The sequence below is a fragment of the Homo sapiens genome, chromosome 12, assembly GCF_000001405.40.
Source record: "Homo sapiens chromosome 12, GRCh38.p14 Primary Assembly".
Taxonomy (NCBI): Eukaryota; Metazoa; Chordata; class Mammalia; order Primates; family Hominidae; genus Homo; species Homo sapiens.
The window spans coordinates 9,617,284-9,639,374 of NC_000012.12; the positions used below are offsets into that span (position 1 = coordinate 9,617,284).

General features: G+C 39.1%; 2 pseudogenes across 2 annotated transcripts in view; one reads left to right on the forward strand and one right to left on the reverse strand.

Annotated features, from left to right (window-relative positions):
• Positions 1-22,091, forward strand: part of LOC374443 (C-type lectin domain family 2 member D pseudogene) — a 41,132-nt pseudogene continuing 19,041 nt past the window's right edge. Inside the window, exon 1 of one of the 2 annotated variants that reach the window (NR_046450.1) lies at positions 1-68. The product of NR_046450.1 is annotated as a C-type lectin domain family 2 member D pseudogene, transcript variant 8 (transcript). Of the gene's footprint in view, positions 69-16,135; positions 16,239-22,091 lie in introns of those variants that run through there. The other variant, NR_046448.1, reaches the window with a different exon arrangement.
• RNU6-700P (RNA, U6 small nuclear 700, pseudogene) lies at positions 6,839-6,945 on the reverse strand (annotated as a pseudogene).

Sequence of the window (22,091 nt, forward strand, 5' to 3'; positions counted from 1 at the left end):
GCTTAACTGGTACATCTGGACTCTGATGAGTGAGAAGTCCAAGCAAATAGAAAAGCCACAGCCAAACGGTGAGTCCCTTCCATGGTTAGAACACATCTGTCTTAACTCAGAAATCACGCCTAATCTTGTTAATATTTTTCTTAGGCGGCAATAAGCACTTTTTAACTGTTTAAATTTAGCAGGAAACATTTTGTTTATAATTCTGAATTTGAATGGGCTAATTACGGTGCACACAGGCGGTAAATAACAGATGAGGCAGAAGATAAATGGAGTGATAGAGCCACAGTCTTTAATCCTTAGAGGCTTTCACTCACTCTCCCATCTTCATTGTCTTACTGCACTCTTCCGATATGATTGACCATCTTCCAATTCTGTGGATGGAGGGAGAGAGGATATTTCATTGAAAACACTGTCCTTACATTCTCAGTCTTCTCAGAGAATATGCTTCTCTTATTTGTCATCACTGAACACTAGAGCTCCCCCAATGACACAACTTTTCTTGTGTATTTTTTTACTATGGTTAAAAAAAACACACAACATAAAATGTGCCAGCATAATCGTTTCTAAGTGTAGAGTTCACTAATGTTAAGTTATTGACATTGTTATGAAACAGATCTTCAGAACTTTTTTCATCTTACAAAACTGAATCAGTGTACCCTTTAAACAATAACCCCTCATTCCTTGCTCCTCTCAGCTCCTGGAAATCACCGCTTTACTTTTTTTCTCTATGAATTTGACTTCCCTAGGTACTTCATGTAAGTGGAATCATACATTATCTGTGTGTTTTTTTTTTTTTTGAGACAGAGTCTTGCTCTGTCACCCAGGCTGGAGTGCAGTGGTGCAATCTAGGCTCACTGCAACCTCTGCCTCTCGGGTTCAAGCGATTCTCCTGCCTCAGCCTCCCAAGTAGCTGGGATTACAGGCGCCACCACTACACCCAGCTAATTTTTGTAATTTTAGTAGAGACAGGGTTTCACCATGTTAGTCAGGCTGGTCTGGAACTCCTGACCTCAGGTGATCTGCCCACCTCGGCTTCCCAAAGTGCTGGGATTACAGGTGTGAGCCACAGCACCCGGCCCATTATTTGTCTTTTTTATAACTGGCTTATTTCACTTGGCATAATGTTCTCAAGGTTCATCCATGTTGCAATATGTGTCAGAATTTCCTTCCTTTTTAAGGCTGAATAATATTCCACTGTATGAATATACCACATCTTAGTCCCTCACCTGCTAGTGGACACTTGACATGCTTCTACTTTCTGGCTTCTGTAACTAGTACTGCTGCGAACATGGGTGTAAAAATATCTCCTTGAGACTGGTTTAGTCCATTTGTGCTGGTATAACAAAATACCAAGACTGGGTAATTTAAGAATAGAAACTTAATTTTTACAGTTCTGGAGGCTAGAAAGTCCACGATCAATGTGCTGGCACTTGCTGTCTGGCAAGGACATTCCTGCTGCATCCTTACATGGTGGAGGGGGTGAAAAATGCAAAAAGCATGAATGCTGAGTCTTCACATGGCAAAAGCCAGAAGAGCGCAAAAGGGTCTAAAGCTAGTTCCCTCCATCCCTTATAAAAGGCACTAATCCATTTATGAGGCTGGAACCCTCATGACTCAAACACTTCCCCAAAGACCTCACCTCTTAATACCACCACAATGCAGATAGTTTCAACATGAATTTGGAGGGGGCACATTCAAACCGTAGCAGAGACTCTTTCTTTCTTCCTTTCTTTCTCTCTCTCTCTCCTCTCTCTCTCTTTCTTTCTCTTTCTTTTTCTTTCTCTTTCTTTCTTTCTTTCTTTCTTTTTCTCTCTTTCTCTCTCTCTTTCTTTCTCTCTCTCTCTCTTTCTTTCTTTTTCTTTCTCTTTCTTTCTCTCTCTCTCTCTCTTTCTCTCTCTCTCTCTTTCTTTCTTTCTTTCTTTTCTTTCCTTCTTTCTTTCTTTTAATATACCTAGAAGGGGGATTACTGGGTTATATGGTAATTCTATTTTTAGTGTTCTGAGGAATCATCACACTATTTTTCATAGTGGTGGCACCACTTTACAATCCCACCAACAATGCATAAGGTTTCCAATTTCTCCGCCTCCTTACCAACACTTATTTTCTGTTTTATTTCATTTTGTTTAACAGTAGCCATCCTAATAGGTTTGAAGTGATACCTCATCTTGTTTTTAATTCTAACATCCCTTCTATGCCTGGTTCTGATGCTTGCTCTGTCCTTTCATTGATTTTTTGCCTTTTAAGATGGCTTTTTTTTCCCCCTTGATAGCCTGATAATATACCAAGAAAAAAGGAACCGCTGCAATTTGATCTTTAGTATTGCGGTGAGGTGTGGGGAGAGGGAAGTAAGACTAGATCTCAGATTTGTAGTGAGGCCTCTGGACTGCGAGCTTCACAAATGTTTCTATTTTCTTTTCCATCCCACTTAGGCGGGAAAGGATGGCTAGAGTGGTCTGAAGTTGGATATTTCTCTTCTCCCATGTGGAAGGCTAGAGCTGACTAGAGTTGTATAACGCTTCTTCTAGGTCAGTTAGACTCTTAATAATGCCCCAGCAATGTAGGTCCTGGTTTACTATTGTCTCCTGAGGGCAGAACCTTTTTAAGAAGAACACAGTGTAAGAAAAAAAAATGAAGAAGAAGAAGAAGAAAGAAGAAGAACACAGTGCTCTGGCATATTTTAAAATTATTCCTTTCTCCCCCTACTAGAAGCATGAGAGGGTTTTTCTCTAATATTTTCTGTGAGAACCTGGTCAAGTTCCCAGAGGTAAATCTCACAAAATTGTGGGATCCTCATATGACTGGGTCCCCCTGGAGTTTTTAACTCTCAAAGTTGCCTGCACTGTGCCTCCAGCACCTCATCCATTATAGTCCGTGTTTTCCTCTCCCAGCTCTTGCTCTCATGATAGTTTCTCTTCCTGTATTTTCCCGTCTGCCTCTTCAAACCTGGGTGCAGGCATTTGCTGTTTCTTCAGTGCTCTTACATATCCTAGAAGAGTTGTTGATTTGTCAGTCTGTTCAACTTTTCCTCGTATTTAATCTGAAGTGGCAACTTCCAAGCACCTTATAGGCAGAACTGGAAACTGGAAGTTTTTTCTCATTGTGGTTTTGACTTAAATTTTCCTGATGATTAGTGAAGTTGAGCAACTTTTTATATTCCTGTTGGCCACTTACATGTTATCTTACATGAAAGAAACTTACATGAAAGAAACATCTATTCAATTTCTTTGCCCATTTTTTAATCAGGCCATTTGATTTTTGCTTATGAGACATAAGAGTTCTTTGTATATTCTGGATATTAATCTCTTATCAAATTTTAGAAATGAAAATCTTTTCTTCTATTCCACACATTGCCTTTTCGCTCTGTTTTCTTGGACGGAGTCTCACCCTGTCATCCAGGTTGGAGTGCAATGGCGCCATCTTGGCTCACTGCAATCTCTGCTTCCCGGATTCAAGCGATTCTCCTGCCTCAGCATCCCAAGTAGCTGGGATTACAAGCACATGCCACCACACCTGGCTAATTTTTTGTATCTTTAGTAGAGACAGGGTTTCACCATGTTGGCCAGGCTGGTCTCCAACTCCTGACCTCAGGTGATCTGCCCACCTTGGCCTCCCAAAGTGCTGGGATTACAGGCCTGAGCCACTGCACCTGGCCTCTTTTCACTCTGTTGATTGTGTCCTTTGTTGCACAAAAGTTTTTAAGATTCATATAGTCTCATTTACCTATTTTTGCTTTCATTACCTGTGTTTTTAGTGTCATATCCAATAAATCATTGTCAAGTCCAGTGTCATGAAGCTTTCCCTATATGTTTTCTTATAGGAATTTTATAAATTTAGGTTTTATGTTTAAGTCATTAATATATTTTGAGTTAATGGTGTAAAATAAAGGCCCAACTTCATTCTTTTGCATGTAGATATCCAGTTTTTTCAATATCAGTTGTTGAAGAGACTGTTTTTCCCCACTGAGTGGTCTTGGCATCCTTGTCAAAGATCATTTGACCACATGCATGAAAATTTAATTTATAGGCTGTGTATTCTATTCAACTGGTCTATTTGTTTTTGTGCTAGTACCACACTACTTTGATTATCATAGATTTGTAATATGTTTTGAAATCAGGAAATGTAAGTCCTCCAACTTTGTTCTTTTTCAAAATTGTTTTGACTATTCGGAGTCCTTTTATATACCAAATGAATTTCAGGATACATTTTTCTATTTCTCCAAAAGATCCCATAAGGATTTTGATAAGGATTGCATTGACTCTGTAGGTCACTTCGGACATTATGAACAATGTAACAATATTAAGTTATCTAATCCATGAACACAGGATATCTTTCATTTATTAGTGTCTGCTTTAATTTCATTCAGCAACGTTTTATGGTTTGCAGTGTACAAGCTTCTCATCTCCTTGGTTAGGTTTATTCCTAAGCTTTTTATTGTTTTGAGTGAAATTGTAAATGGATTTGTTTTCTTAATTTCCTTTTTGGATTGTTCATTATTCATGTATAGAAATGCAACTGATTTCTGTGTGTTGGTTTTGTACCTTGCAACTTTGCTTAATTCATTTATTAGTTCTAACAGATTTTTATTGTGTATGGAATCATTAGAGTTTTCTATGTATACGATTTTGTCCTCTGTAAACAGAGATTATTTACTTCTTCTTTTCCCATCTGGATGCCTTTTATTTCTTTTTATTGCTTAATTGTTCTGGCTATAATTTTCAGTTCTATGTTGAATAGAAGTAGTAAGAGTGAGCATCTTTGCCTTGTTTCTGATATTAGAGAAAAAGCTTTCAGTCTTTTATCCTTGTGTATGATGTTATCTGTGGCCTCTTTATAAATGGTCTTAATTGTGTTCATGGACTGGCCTTCTCTTCCCATTTTATTAAGTGTTTTAACATGAAAGAGTGTTTAATCTTGTCAAATGATATTTCTCCACTGATTGAGATAATCGTGATTTTTGTCCTTTATTCTGTTAATGTGTTATATTACATTGTTTTTTTCTTTTTTTCTTACTTTTTTTTTTTTTTTAATGAGACAGGGTCTCACGCTGTCACCCAGGCTGGAGTGGAATGGCACTATCTTGACTCACTACAGCCTTAATCTCCTGAGCTCAAGCAATCCTCTCACCTCAGGCTCCTGAGTAGCTGGGACTACAAGTATGTACCACCACGCCTGGCTAGTTTTCATATTTTTTTATACATATGGGGTTTTGCCATGTTGCCCAGGCTGGTCTTGAACTCTTGAGCTCAAGCAATCCACCCACCTCCACCTCACAAAGTGCTGGGATCACAGGCATGAGCCATTGCACCCATAGATTGATTTTCATATGCTAAACTCTCCTTGCATTCCTGGAGTAAATCCCATTTGGTTATCATATATGATTCTTTTAATATGCTATTTAATTTGGTTTGCTAGTATTTTGTTGAGGATTTTTGCATTCACATTCATCGGAGATATTGGTCTGTAGTTTTCTTTTCTTGCAGTGTCTTTGCCTCACTTTGGTATTAGGGCAATTTTGGCCTGATATAAGGAACTTAGAAGCATTCCCTCCTCTTGAATTCTATGAAAGAGTTTCAGGAAAACTGGTGTTAATTCTTTTGTAAATGTTTAGTAGAATTCTCCAGCGAAGCCATCTGGGATTTCTTTTTAGGGGGATTTTTGATTACTAATTCAATCTTCATACTATTTATTGATCTTTTCAGATTTTTTATATCTACATGATTCAGTCTTGCTAGATTGTATGTTTCTAGGGATTTGTACATTTCTTTTAGGTTATTCAATTTGTTGGCATGCCATTGTTCACAGTATTCTCATGATCCTTTTTATTTCTGTGGTATCAATTGTAATATCTCTTTTTTCACTTCTGATTTTATTTATTTGCATCTTCTCTTTTTTTTAATCTAGCTAAGGGTTTATGAATTTTATTGGTTTTTTGTCCATTATTTTTAGTTTTTATTTTGTTTATCGCTGCTCTAATCTTTATTATTTCCCTTCTGCTAAATTTGAGTTTAGTTTGTTCTTATTTTTTGGTTTCCTAAGGTGTAAAGTTAGATCATGAAAATTTCTTTATCATTGCTTTTGCTCCATCCCACAAGTTTTGGTATGTTGTGTTTTCACTCTCATTTGTCTCAGTGTATTTCCTAATTTCCATTGTGACTTGTTTTGTGACCCCATTGGTCATTTAAGGGTTGTTTAATTTCTAAATATTTGTAGATTTTTCAGTTTCTCTTGTGTTAGTGATTTCTAGTTCACTATATGGGGATTGGAAAAGATACTTTCTATGATTTAAATGTTTTTTGAATTTGTTAAGACATGTTTTGTGACCTAACATGTGATGTATCCTGGAGAATGTTCCATGTGCACTCAAAACGAATGCATACCCTGGTGCTGTTGGTTGGAATGTTCTGTATATATCTGTTGGGTCCGATTGGTTTATAGTGTTGTTCAAGTTTTCTATTTCCTTATTAATCTTCTGTCTGGTTCTTCTGTCAACTATTAAATGTAACTTATTGAAGTATACTACAATTGTGTTTCTGTATTTTTCTCCCTTCAATTCTTTCAAAGCTTGATTTATATATTTAGGAGCTATTAGGTTTGGTGCATAAGTATTCATAATTGTAATATATTCATGGTGAATTGAATGTTTTTCATTATATGTTGTCCATCTTTGTCTTCTGTAAGTTTTTCATTTAAAGTCTATTTGTTTGCTATTAGTATAGCCACTCTTGCTCTATTTTGGTTATTATTTGCCCAGAATATGTTTTTTTCCATTTTTTCACTTTTAGCCTATATATGTCCTGATATTAAGATTTACTTTGTAATTTTCTTAATTGCTTTTTGTTAAGAAATAAAACACTTCACAAATTTGCATGTCATCCTTGCTCAAGGGCCGCACAAGTCTTCTCTGTCTTGTTCCGACTTTAGTTTATGTACTGCTGAAGCAAGCACTGTCAATTTTTTTGCATGTCCTGTGAGTTTTTTATCCCTCACTTTCTCTGCCTTCCTTTGTATTACACTGATTTTTCGGAGTGACATACTTTGATTCTTTTTGCATTTTCTTTTTTCCTCTCTTCTATAGATATTTTCTTTGTGGTCACCATGGTAATTATGTAAAGCATCTTAAAGTTATAGTAGTCTATTTTAAACTGTTAACAACTTCAATCATACACAAACACTGTACTACTTTGCAGCTTTGCCCCCCCGCAACACTTTATGTTATTGATGTCACAAGTTACATGTTTATATACTGTATACCAGTAAACAAGCAATTGTGCTTATTTGTTGTGCAATTTTATCATTTAAAATCTATGCACCAAAATTAAGATAGTACATGTTACTCTATTTGCCCATGAATTTACCTTTGATTCTTCTTTTTGATCAAGTCTGCTATTGAACCCCTCTAATAAGCTTTTCAGTTCAGTTATTGTATTTTTCACTCTATAATTTCCATTTGGTTCTTTGTTATAGTGTTTTGTATATTTGTTAATAACCTCATCGTGTTGATGCACCATTTTTCTTATTTCCTTTAGCTGCATACCTGTGCCCTTTTTGAGCTCATTGAGTGTATTTATGACAGTTTAAAAAATTCCTTGTCGAGCAGCTCTTAGATCTGTGTTGCTTTAGTTTTAGGACAGGTTTTATTTTGGTCCTTTGATTGGGCCATGTTTCTCTGTTTCTTTGTATTCCTTGTGAGATATATATATACTTTTTTTCTGGGTTTTGGGCCTTTGGAAAAACAACCACCTCTCTTAGCTTTACCAATCAACCCAGTTTGAGGTTCTGGGACCTTTGAAACCTTTTCTCATGTCTTACTTTTCTTGGTGTTGTCCTATAAAACTGCAACTCTAACATGCTGCTTGCCTTTGCCTTCAGTGCCTTCCACACTCTACTACCAGTCCTACCAGCACTGTGAGTCAGGGAAGACAGAAACCAGTTCCTCAGGCAGCCCTCAGACAAGCCAGAGCATTAGATGCATGGTCCACTTTTTTGTTTTCATCAGGAGAGAGAATCCGCTGTATGGGGTGGTTCCTCCCAGTTGCTTCACAGTATATTGCATAAAGGAGGGACATGAATGGGCGTGTCGAATGTCACAAATTTTTTCTATCCTTTTTCTGGGGGGGAATCCTTTCTTGGTTTTATAATGGGCTGGTGCTTCAGCTTCTCCAGTAGTCTCTAAAGTTGCCACAGCAATGGGCCTGTGGGGAAGAGAGTCCCATAATTTCCTATTCTGCTCTCTTGCTAATGTCATCCCTTCCTTTTTTCATTTTTAAGCCTAAAGTAGATTCTCTTAGCTCATGATTAACACTTGCTGACTTTTGTATCTTTACCTTCTTGCACAAAATTATCCTCTTAATCACTTCTTTTTGTGGCCACCTTCTGGGCTCTATTGTGGCTCTTCATTTTCAACAGTTACATTGTTTTTATTTTACTGTATTTTCCTGTCCACCCACCCCAGTGCCCACTGCTGACCTGGCAAAGTTCAATGTCAAAAATAGGTAATCTAGTCAAAAACTTGTCTTTATTGTTCCTCGAGCTGCTCAATTATTACCTCTACTATTACTACATTATAAATCTTAGGATCACATATACTCATTAATTCTTTGAATTTTTTAGCTTTCATATTATATTGTGTGTGTATGTGTGTGGGTGTTTTGACAATTCTCTCTCTATTTATATTTTCTCATGATAAGATATTCATAAATTCTGATATGCTTTGCTGTAAAGTGTAATTTGCATAATTAGATCATCAAATGGATTCACTAGCATAAATAGAAAAAAATTATAGGTCTGAATTTTCATGAGGGTTTTATGTATGTGTATATATATAGAGAGAGATAGAACATATATGTTTATAGGCACATTGTAATAATATATTATATATTACATATGTATATACAGTATATACACACATTAAAAATTGTATAACAAGAATCTGTTGTGATAGAAGAAAATTGCGCAGGTGATTGGTTGTTGCTCTTCATACTCTGTAACAAGCAAAATGATCAATCAATATGTTTCATGCCATGTATGGACAAGTGAAGCCTCTTCTTTGGTTGATATTTCTAACTAGTTTATACTTTTGCACCTTATAGGCTTTTGCAAGCATCTGTTTGAAGAGAATGGCTTACCTCAAATCAGTTGTTTTTGGTATGGCCATTGTAGATTCCTAGTAGTCACAGTCATGCTTCAGAACTTGAAGTTATACTTGAGTGCACTAAACCACAATTTTAATCCCCTAATTACATCATCAGACTTCTAGTCACTCTATTGACCTTTCTAAGATATTCCAACACTTTTCATTTACTTGATGAATGTTTCTTTAAGTGTGGTCCATGAACCACCTGAAATAATTTTTAGCACATTCTCCATTCTAGCTAACTGTACTTTGGGAAGAAAAAGGGGTTTATGTGGCAAGAATCTGCATTATTAACAAGTTTTCAAGTTATTCTTATATATACTATAGTTTGAGATCTTTATATGCACTAAAGCATTATATACTAAAGCTTGAGAATAATGCTATAAATATATTGAATTGTTCAATGCAAATGACCCAGGAGACACTTCCATAATTGTGGCAGACTCTGTGCATCCTAAAAATTTAGATAAGATGTATGGCAGAACCAAATACCCTAGTACCAGTAAAATGACTGTTAGTTATCAAATAGTCATATAGTTAAGAACATTTTCACTGAATCACTAAAGAGTGGATTGTGAAACTCACACACACTTACATCTCACTTCATAATTATCGGTGATCTTTAAGAAATAAGTGTGTGCTCTCATGATAGACACATAATGAAAATGTTCTTCGATGGATAAACACTTCCTGTCTTCTGAGTTCAAAGCCAGAAGACTGTTTCCACTGTCAAGTAATTTGAGCACCTGGTATAATTCTGCTCCAATAATAGGAAGTGACTTTTAGGAAATCTCAGATTTTGCTGTTTTTTTAACCTGTAATGGGAGAATGTCAGTCTTGGAGACACGTAAGCTCTTTTTTTTTTTAATTTTATATACTTATTTATTATACTTTAAGTTCTAGGGTACATGCGCACAATATGCAGTTTTGTTACATATGTATACATGTGCCATGTTGGTGTGCTGCACCTGTTTACTCATCATTTACATTAGGTATATCTCCTAATGCTATCCCTCCCTACTCCCCCCACCCCACAACAGGCCCCGGTGTATGATGTTCCCCACCCTGTGTCCAAGTGTTCTCATTGTTCAATTCCAACCTATGAGTGAGCACATGCGATGTTTGATTTTCTGTCCTTGCAATAGTTTGCTGAGAATGATGGTTTCCAGCTTCATCCATGTCCCTACAAAGGACATGAACTCATCCTTTTTTATGGCTGCATAGTATTCCAAGGTGAATATGTGCCACATTTTCTTAATCCGGTCTATCATTGATGGACATTTGGGTTGGTTCCAAGTCTTTGCTGTTGTGAATAGTGCCGCAATAAACATGCGTGTGCATGTGTCTTTATAGCAGCACGATTTATAATCCTTTGGGTATATGCTGAGTAATGGGATGGCATTCTAGTTCTAGATCCCTGAGGAATCGCCACACTGTCTTCCACAATGGTTGAACTAGTTTACAGTCCCACCAACAGTGTAAAAGTTGTTCCTATTTCTCCACATCCTCTCCAGCACCTGTTGTTTCCTGACTTTTTAATGATCGCCATTCTAACTGGCGTGACATGGTACCTCATTGTGGTTTTGATTTGCATTTCTCTGATGGCTAGTGATGATGAGCATTTTTTCATGTGTCTGTTGGCTGCATAAATGTCTTCCTTTGAGAACTGTCTGTTCATATCCTTTGCCCACTTTTTGATGGGGTTGTTTGATTTTTTCTTGTAAATTTGTTTAAGTTCTTTGTAGATTCTGGATATTAACCCTTTGTCAGATGGGTAGATTATAAAACTTTTCTCCCATTCTGTAGGTTGCCTGTTCACTCTGATGGTAGTTTCTTTTGCTGTGCAGAAGCTCTTTAGTTTAATTAGATCCCATTTGTCAATTTTGGCTTTTGTTGCCATTGCTTTTGGTGTTTTAGTCATGAAGTCCTTGCCCATGCCTATGTCCTGAATGGTATTGCCTAGGTTTTCTTCTAGGGATTTTATGGTTTTAGGTCTAACATTTAAGTCTTTAATCCATCTTGAATTAATTTTTGTATAAGGTGTAAGGAAGGGATCCAGTTTCAGCTTTCTATATATGGCTAGCCAGTTTTCCCAGCACCATTTATTAAATAGGCAACCATTTCTTGTTTTTGTCAGGTTTGTCAAAGATCAGATGGTTGTAGATGTGTGATATTATTTCTGAGGGCTCTGTTCTGTTCCATTGGTCCATATCTCTGTTTTGGTACCAGTGCCATGCTGTTTTGGTTACTGTTGCCTTGTAGTATTGTTTGAAGTCAGGTAGTGTGATGCCTCCAGCTTTGTTCTTTTGGGTTAGGATTGACTTGGCAATGCAGGCTCTTTCTTTGTTCCATATGGACTTTAAAGTAGTTTTTTCCAATTCTGTGAAGAAAGTCATTGGTAGCTTGATGGGGATGGCATTGAATCTATAAATTACCTTGGGCAGTATGGCCATTTTCACAATATTGATTCTTCCTATCCCTGAGCATGGAATGTTCTTCCATTTGTTTGCGTCCTCTTTTATTTCGTCGAGCAGTGGTTTGTAGTTCTCCTTGAAGAGGTCCTTCACATTCCTTGTAAGTTGGATTCCTGGGTATTTTATTCTCTTTGAAGCAATTTTGAATGGGAGTTCAATCATGATTTGGCTCTCTGTTTGTCTGTTATTGGTGTATAGGAATGCTTGTGATTTTTGCACATTGATTTTGTATGCTGAGACTTTGCTGAAGTTGCTTATCAGCTTAAGGAGATTTTGGGCTGAGACAATGGGCTTTTCTAAATATACAATCATGTTATCTGCAAACCAGTACAATTTGACTTCCTCTTTTCCTAATTGAATACCCTTTATTTCTTTCTCCTGCCTGACTGCCCTGGCCAGAACTTCCAAAACTGTGTTGAATAGGAGTGGTGAGAGAGGGCATCCCTGTCTTGTGGCAGTTTTCAAAGGGAATGCTTCCAGTTTTTGCCCATTCAGTATGATATTGGCTGTGGGTTTGTCATAAATAGCTCTTATTATTTTGAGGTACGTCCCATCAATACCTAGTTTGTTGAGAGTTTTTATCATGAAGGGCTGTTGAATTTTGTCAAAGGCCTTTTCTGCATCTAATGAGATAATCATGTGGTTTTTGTCTTTGGTTCTGTTTATATGATGGATTACGTTTATCGATTTGCATATGTTGAACCAGCTCTGCATCCCGGGGATGAAGCCAACTTGATCATGGTGGATAAGCTTTTTGATGTGCTGCTGGATTTGGTGTGCCAGTATTTTATTGAGGATTTTTGCATTGATGTTCATCAGGGATATTGGTCTAAAATTCTCTTTTTTTGTTGTGTCTCTGCCAGATTTTGGTATCAGGATGATGCTGGCCTCCTGAAATGAGTTAGGGAGGATTCTCTCTTTTTCTATTGATTGGAATAGTTCCAGGAGGAATGATACCAACTCCTCTTTTACCTCTGGTAGAATGTGGCTGTGAATCCGTCTGGTCCTGGAGTTTTTTTAGTTGGTAGGCTATTAATTATTGCCTCAATTTCAAAGCCTGTTATTGGTCTATTCATGGATTCAACTTCTTTCTGGTTTAGTCTTGGGAGGGTGTATGTGTCCAGGAATTTATCCATTTCTTCTAGATTTTCTAGTTTATTTGCACAGAGGTGTTTATAGTATTCTCTGATGGTAGTTTGTATTTCTGTGGGCTTGGTGGTGATATCCCCTTTATTATTTTTTATTGCATCTATTTGATTCTTCTCTCTTTTCTTCTTTATTAGTCTTGCTAGCTGTCTATCAATTTTGTTGATCTTTTCAAAAACCAGCTGCAGGATTCATTGATTTTTTGAAGGGTTTTGTTGTGTCTCTATCTCCTTCAGTTCTGCTCTGATCTTAATTATTTCTTGCCTTCTGCTAGCTTTTGAATGTGTTTGCTCTTGCTTCTCTAATTCTTTTAATTGTGATGTTAGGGTGTCGGTTTTAGATCTTTCCTGCTTTCTCTTGTGGGCATTTAGTGCTATAAATTTCCCTCTACACATTGCTTTAAATGTGTCCCAGAGATTCTGGTATGTTGTGTCTTTGTTCTCATTGGTTTCAAAGAACATCTTTATTTCTGCCTTCATTTCGTTGTGTACCCAGTAGTCATTCAGGAGCAGGTCGTTCAGTTTCCATGTAGTTGAGCGAGTGTCTTAATCCTGAGTTCTAGTTTGCACTGTGGTCTGAGAGACAGTTTGTTATAATTTCTGTTCTTTTACATTTGCTGAGGGGTGCTTTACTTCCAACTATGTGGCCAATTTTGGAATAAGTGTGATGTGGTGCTGAGAAGAATGTATATTCTGTTGATTTGGGGTAGAGAGTTCTGTAGATGTCTATTAGTTCTGCTTGGTGCAGAGCTGAGTTCAATTCCTGGATATCCTTGTTAACTTTCTGTCTCATTGATCTGTCTAATGTTGACAGTGGGGTGTTAAAGTCTCCCATTATTATTGCGTGGGAGTCTAGGTCTGTTTTTAAGTCTCTAAGGACTTGCTTTATGAATCTGGGTGCTCCTGTATTGGGTGCATATATATTTATGATAGTTAGCTCTTCTTGTTGAATTGATCGCTTTACCTTTATGTAATGGCCTTCTTTGTCTCTTCTGACCTTTGTTGGTTTGAAGTATGCTTTATCAGAGACTAGGATTGCAACCCCTGCTTTTTTTAATTGTTTTCCATTTCCTTGGTAGATCTTCCTCCATCCCTTTATTTTGAGCCTATGTGTGTCTCTGCACTTGAGATGGATCACCTGAATACAGCACACTGGTGGGTCTTGACTCTTTATCCAATTTGCCAGTCTGTGTCTTTTAATTGGAGCACTTAGCCCATTTACGTTTAAGGTTAATATTGTTACGTGTGAAATTGATCCTGTCATTATGATGTTAGCTGGTTATTTTGCTCGTTAGTTGATGCAGTTTCTTCCTAGCATCGATGTTCTTTACAATTTGGCATGTTTTTGCAGTGGCTTGTACCGGTTGTTTCTTTCCATGGTTAGTGCTTCTTTTAGGAGCTCTTCTTGTAAGACAGGCCTGGTGGTGACAAAATCTTTCAGCATTTGTTTGTCTGTAAAGGATTTTATTTCTCCTTCACTTATGAAGCTTAGTTTCGCTGGAATTGAAATTCTGGGTTGATATGAAATTCTTTTCTTTAAGAGCGTTGAATATTGGCCCCCACTGTCTTCTGGCTTGTAGAGTTTCTGCTGAGAGATCCGCTGTTAGCCTGATGGGCTTCCCTTTGTGGGTAACCCGACCTTTCTCTCTGGCTGCCCTTACATTTTTTCCTCCATTTCAACTTTGGTGAATCTGACAATTATGTGTCTTGGAGTTGCTCTTCTCGAGGAGCATCTTAGTGGTATTCTCTGTATTTCCTGAATTTGAATGTTGGCCTGCCTTGCTATGTTGGGGAAGTTCTCCTGGATAATATCCTGAAGAGTGTTTTCCAACTTGGTTCCATTCTCCTCGTCACTTTCAGGTATACCAATCGGACGTAGATTTGGTCTTTTCACATAGTCCCATATTTCTTGGAGGCTTTGTTCATTTTTTTTTACTCTTTTTTCTCTAAACTTCTCTTTTTGTTTCATTTCATTCATTTGCTCTTCAATCCCTGACACCCTTTCTTCCACTTGATCAAATCGGCTACTGAAGCTGGTGCATGCATCATGTAGTTCTCGTGGTATGGTTTTCAGCTCCATTGGGTCATTTAAGGTCTTCTTTACACTGTTTATTCTAGTTAGCCATTCATCTAATCTTTTTTCAAGGTTTTTAGCTTCTCTGCAATGGGTTCGAACATCCTCCTTTAGCTTAGAGAAGTTTGTTATTACCAATCGTCTGAAGCCTTCTTCTCTCAACTTGTCAAAGTAATTCTCCATCCAGCTTTGTTCTATTGCTGGAGAGGAGCTGCATCCCTTTGGAGGAGAAGAGGCACTCTGATTTTTAGAATTTTCGGCTTTTCTGCTCTTGTTTCTCCCCATCTTTGTGATTTTATCTACCTTTGGTCTTTGATGATGGGGACACACAGATGGGGTTTTGGTGTGGATGTCCTTTCTGTTTGTTAGTTTTCCTTCTAACAGTCATGACCCTCAGCTGCAGGTCTGTTGGAGTTTGCTGGAGGTCCACTCCAGACCCTGTTTGCCTGGGTATCACCAGCAGGGGCTGCTGAACAGCAAATATTGCAGAACAGCAAATGTTGCTGCCTGATCCTTCCTCTGGAAGCTGCGTCTCAGAGGGACACCTGGCTGTATGAGGTGTCAGTCGGCCCCTACTTGGAGGTGTCTCCCAGTTAGGCTACTTGGGGATCAGAGACCCACTAGAGGAGGCAGTCTGTCCATTCTCAGATCTCAAACTCTGTGCTGGGAGAACCACTACTGTCTTCAAATCTGTCAGACAGCTTTGAAGTCTGCAGAAGTTTCTGCTGCCTTTTGTTCAGCTATGCCCTGCCCTTAGAGGTGGAGTCGACAGAGGCAGGCAGGCCTCCTTGAGCTGCGGTGGGCTCCACCCAGTGCAAGCTTCCCGGCTGCTTTGTTTATCTACTCAAGCCTCAGCAATTGCGTACGCCCCTTCCCCAGCCTCACTGCCGCCTTGCAGTTCGATCTCAGACTGCTGTGCTCTCAGCGAGCGAGGCTCCTTGGGCATGGGACCCTCCGAGCCAGGCGCGGGATATAATCTCCTGGTGTGCCATTTGCTTAGACCATTGGAAAAGTGCAGTATTAAGGTGGGAGTGCCCCGATTTTCCAGGTACCATCTGTCACGGCTTCCCTTGGCTAGGAAAGGGAATTCCCTGACCCCTTGCGCTTCCTGGGTGAGGTGATGCCCCGCCCTGCTCTGTGGGCTGTACCCACTGTCCGACAAGCCCCAGTGAGATGAACCCATTACCTAAGTTGGAAATGCAGAAATCGCCCATCTTCTGCATTGCTCACACTGGAAGCTGTGGACTGGAGCTGTTCTTATTTGGCCATCTTAGAACCTCATGCCAACTGTCCTCCCTAATCTTTTATTATGCAGATGGGTTCTCTACCTGGCCTGTGCCTTGTTGCCTGTTCCTTTACTGTACATGTGATGACAAGAAAAGAAGATGGACCCTCCATGTTGAACATGCCTGGCCCTCAGGTAGCCCTTTTCTATTGGCACAGCTGCTGGCATTCATCTGTGCAAGCTTCCAGCTTGCTCATGTATGTCTGCAGCTCGATTTCTCAGGCTGCTCTTTGTTAGAAAAGAAATGATTTTTTGGGCTGCTTTTTGTTAAAATGGAAAATTCTGCCTATGACTCTGTTGTCCTTACTATCTGCCTAAATAATTTATTTCTATGTCCTGTATCACTGGATTCCCCCCACCTACCAAGTTGTTCTTAAAAACTGCTCCCTGAATGCTCTAAGAGACTGATTTGAGTTTTGAATAAAACTCTGGACTCCCACACAGCTGCCTCTGCATGAGTTACTCTTTCTCTATTGCAATTTCCCTGTCTTGATATATTGGCTCTGTCTAGGCCTTGGGCAAGGTGAACCTGTTGGGTGGTTACATTCTCACTGTTATAATTTTTCAAAGGTGATTTCAGTCATGCCACCATCAGTGTAGGTCTCACCTGGGAGATTGTTAGAAATGTAGAATCCTGGACCCAGTGAATATGAATCTGCAGTTTTAAAAGATCTCCAGGTAATACATAGATGAATTAAAGTTTTAGAGCTAATGCTATAAGTGACATGGCTTCTTGATAAGTTATTTTCCGATTTTCAATCTGAGGTCCCCTGGGCTGCCTGCATGGATGTGTGGATAGGGGTTGAGGAAAAGGATGAACATTGGTGTTTCTCTTCAAGAGTTTGAATTTGATGTTTGTTTGCACACTTCAATGTATCTGTATATTTTAAAAAGTGGAGCAGTTATTCCTAGAGTGAAACTTTTGTATTCACCTAGAAAATCCATTTCAACTATCTGAGTTAGTTTACCAACAGTTCCCAGAAGAGGGCGCTGCAATGCCTTTCTTTTTCTGTCCTTACACCTGTGTACTGAAGTCAGAAACTAATTGATGAAATGTTTAAATCCACATTATTTCATTGGAGGTACCAATACTTGTATTTGCTAAGTAGATATTCTTTTCTTTACTTTGTAGATGAGTAAACAGGAAGACTGAACTGTTTCTCAACTCCCAAATTCAGGCTTCTTTCAAAATCTACAGTATCATTGGGGGCTGTTATACCAGGACACATGGAGGTGAAGAACTAAAGCAAAATCGTGTCTACTTCACAGTTTTGCCTAAGGCTGGGCTTAATTCTTAAAAAGGTAGCTCTGCTCTTAGTTGAGTGGTCTGGCTAAATTCAAGCAGATTAAACCAGTGTTTATTGTGTTGCTTTGCTAAAAGCCTTTTAGCTGCTTTCAACACAAAATGTTATCCATATTGCTTAGACTTTGCAAACGTAAATAAAATATTCTGTTATGAGTTTTGCAAGAATTTTGAGGGTGAGTTAATGTCAAGGTACCTCTGAACAAGATTTTATACATGTATAGGATGAACGGGACTGCCTTGATGTTCCCCTCAACTTGACTAAACTTTAGACAGATTTCTCCCTGACGTATCACTCCTTTACTTCTCTTTTCTTAGATTGTTTACTTTAGAAAACTTCCCACTATAAATTCTTTCTGTCTTCTTATTTGAGATTTAAATTTTTCTCTAGCCTTTTATCGGTTTTGCAACCCAGGAATATCTTTCTCAAAGACCTGGGAGCCATTTCTTTGAAAAATAATCATCAAGAAAAATAGTTCCCTTATCTTCCCATCTCTGTGGGAGGGTAGTACTCTAACTTCCATATGTGCCAGTTAGCAAATACAGATGGCCTAATCATGTTGACCCACCTTCCCCACTAATATTCTCCAGAACTTTTTCACTAGCATACTCCAGCCTTTACAATCTCTCCTGCTTTTTGTTCAACAGATTTGAATACAGTCTCTCTTTCTTATTGGAACAGGCTTGACACCTATTGCAACAATTTTGAATAAAGTCTTCCTTGCCTATTTAACTTTGTCCAATGCAATTTTTCTTTGAGAATAGCCTACAGAGATTCAAATACAATAAGGTTATTGTATTAGCTACTTGCATACTACTAGCATTCTTTATGACTCATTATTAGAAAATAATAAGTGCAATTGAGGAATATGGGTATTTTTCCTCTACAATTGAAACCACTGAAAAGTAATCCTATAAACAAAGTAGCCCCTGTCCAATGTCTTTCCCTTATATCTTCCTAAAACACATTATTCTACTGTTCTTCCCACTTCAAGGGCCACAGTTTCTCATTTGCTGACTTTTCCTGTGTTTTCCTCTAAATGCAAAATTAAGATTTTATTCTTGGCTCACTTCACTTCTGTATTTACACAGGTACAGATGTGTAGATTAACAGATCTAGTTGTCGCTTCCACAGTTACCCTTCTGCAAACCTGTTCCACCTAGCAGTCAGAGGTATCTTCTAAAATATAAAAATGCAAAAGTATCTTTTCTCTGCTTGAAGTCCTTCAATAGCTCCTTTTTGCAGTTAGAGAAAAAAATGATACCCAAATCCTTCTCGCTGTTTAACAAGGTCCAATACAATCTAGCATCTTTACATGTCCTCAGCCTCAACCTTCACCACTCATCCTTCTCCACTTCTGCCTCCACTGCCATGTTGATCATATTAGATCCACAAGAACTTCTTTCCATTCCTAGCACATGCCAGGTTCCCCTTCCTTAGGCCCTTTGCTCCTGCTGTTCCCAAGGTAAGGAATGCTCATTCCTCAGATCTATTTTGGTTATGACAGCTGAAAGCTTTTTCCCAAAGATCTGGAACAAAACATGGATGGCTACTCTCATCACTCTTATTCAGCATAGTACTAGAAGCCCAGCCCAAGCAATTAGACAAGAGGGAAAAATACAGAAAATCTAAATTAGAAAGGAGGAAGTCAAATTGTTCCTGTTTTCCGATGACATAATCTTATATATAGAAAACTGGAAAGTCCACCAAAAAACTCTCAGAAAGGATACAAGAACTTAGTAAATTTTCAAGACACAAAGTTAAGACAGAAAAAATCTGTAATATTTCTATACACACACAATGAACTAGCTGAAAACAAAATCAAGAAGGCAATCCCATTTGCAATAGCTACACACACAAAAAAACCTAGGAATAAATTTAACCAAGGAAGTGAAAGATCTCTATGTTGTAGGAAAATCCAGGTTCTTGTCACATGACTAAGATAATTTAGGCATGAGGACTCATTGTAGGGTGAGTAGGGCAGAGTTTATTGGGTGAAAAAGAAAAAAAAGTGGGAAAAAGGGACTCTCAGCAAAGTGACAGTCCTGCTACGAAGTTTCCCACCTTGCAGATTGAATCCTTGGTTATCACCCAGGAACAGGAGAGGCTAGGCTACTCCCCCTTGTAAACAGTGCTAACGTCCCACGGCTCCACCCCATCCTCCCAGTGCACAGGACGGTCAGAGGTTCTCAGGAGACCCCTTTTGAGGTGGCTGTCTCATTCCCCACTCTGAAGTACATCTAACTGCCGTTAGAATAAGGATAAGGATAAAGAAGACCAATCCTAACTGCCTCCTGCCGACAGGGGCGCTGTTTTGGGGAAATGGCAGTCAGATCTCCCTCAAAGGCCTCTCTAAGTGTCCCTAGCAGAAGGCGCCATTGTCCAAGGCTCCAGTTGCATGACTATTTGGAGTTTGATTGCCTGAAGGAGAGAAGAAACAAACCAGGTTAATAGAAAACATGTATCAAAACCAAACAAGGGGGTGGGTGAAGACAGCTCAAAAATCCTGAGGCCTTTTACCAGTTCACACAGGGAGATGGAGGGGGTGGGGGACAAAAGCTGGACTGGTAAGGAAACTTACTTTTGTGCAGGCATGTCATAGTTCTGGGCCTCCTTCTCCTGAGCCCAGTCTGAAGCCAACCAGTCTAAGGTTTGGGAAATTAACTCTTCCCAGTTTGGAGGATGCATCTGAGGGGAGTGTTCCATAGTACGGAGACACAATTACTTATCATTAAAGAGATGACAGAGGAGGAAAAAGGAAGGTGTTTTTTCAAGGAGTCCCAGGGATTCAAGATGCATTTGAAAGGGGTACAGACTGAAGATGAATGGCTACTCATCTAGAAAGAGGGGAGCCAGTGCCTCTGATTCCTTTCTCTTCCTAGCAAATACACAGGATACATGAGGGAGGAAAAGTGAGGTGTTCCTCTTTCTTTCCTCCATCCTTTTATCCCTGAGTCTTGGTGACTGTGACCAGTGGCCATGGGTGTTAAAGTGGCTTTCGCCCATGTTAACAGTGAGGGCCTAAGAGGTGGGAGTATCCATTCTCACCCATGTATGCCCTATCTCCCCTTCTGTCAGTAGCCTTTGGATTCCCTAGACCTCATTTATGCCATGGATACTAGCGTAGCCTTTATCCATGAAACTGGAAGCTTGGCTTAATTGGCAGGAATCAGCCACACTCACCTGCACTATGTCTTTTGACTTCCGTTATCATCTGCCTCTGGATCCCTCAGATCCAGTTTTCTTTCCTAGGCCTTTGACTCAAAACTTGGAATTAAGTTTGGGACAAAAATGCATCTTGGAGTGGGTTGCATGGACTCCTTATCATAAACCAAATGCTAAAGTGAAGCTGTGGAATTGAGTCCTCTTCCAACAAGGGAGAGAAAAGGATGTCCAGTGACATGCCTAGATAACTGGTGGCTATAGTTATGCTTCCTAGGATTTGGGTGCATGTTGCTTGGCTTTGGTTAGCTCCCTTGGTCTTACTTTCCCCCACCTCCCCCCCAGAAAAACCCTCTGAGTGATGGGCAACCTATTTATTCCCATCACCTGGTAGGATTTGCAGGATAATTGCTCAGAACTAGAATATTGATCCAGATTTCTACATTACCCATCCTGTTTGTTCTTTCTGAGCTGCACACAGAGATCACTGGTTGGTTCACAGGAACAAGCAGGGTTAGTCTGAAAATGTAGGCAAAAACTGAAAAACAACTAATGAGTTTAGAATTTTAAGACAAATGTATGATAAATTTTGAAACATAATTTCTCTCTCTCCAGTCCTCATTTTTGTTAAAAACACAAATCATGATAGGACTCAGTTGTTTGCAAAATTGAATTTAGTCTTATACTTGGCCTGATTATTTGCATAAAGTGCAGCAAAAATAATTATTTCTACATAGGCCTTTTGATTGGCTTTGATGGAATGCTGTTCCACAAGTAATCTCAAATAAGATCTTTTAAAGCCACGCCCAGACATGTATTTGTATCCTCAAATACCTGTGAGTTGGGTAATCCTCTTGTCTTAAGGTTCCAAGATAAACTTGGAGCTCCTGGGCCTGTTAGAAAGTGACATTCTTTACTGATCACAGGTCATGAACCCTGTACAGGAACTGCATAGACAAGGCTCTGAGACCAGTTTCCTCAAGGGACTTTTTTTTTTTTTTTTTTTTTTTTTTTTTTTTGAGAGAGTCTCACTCTTGTTGTCCAGGCTGGAGTGCAATGGCACAATCTTGGCTCACCGCAACCGCTGCCTCCCGGCTTCAAGCAATTCTCTTGCCTCAGTCTCCCGAGTAGCTGGGACTACAGGCATGTGTCACCATACATGGCCAATTTTGTATTTTTAGTGGAGATGGGGTTTCTCCATGTTTGTCAGGCTGGTCTCAAACTCCCAACCTCAGGTGATCCGCCCGCCTTGGCCTCCCAGAGTGCTGGGATTACAGGTGTGAGCCACCACGCCCGGCCTTCCCCAAGGGACTTTTATTGGCTCTGCAAGTTGAGCTTGACTCCTTAAAGAGAAGCATACCCTTCCAGTCAAAGCCTTGGTAAAACAACCAGTTACTCCAATTGCATCCTGTTGCAAAAGAAAATGGATTTTTACTGCACTGATGCAAACAAGTATATTGCTGTAAGTTAAGAATACTCACAGATAATTTCCAAATTCTACAGGAACCAGGCAG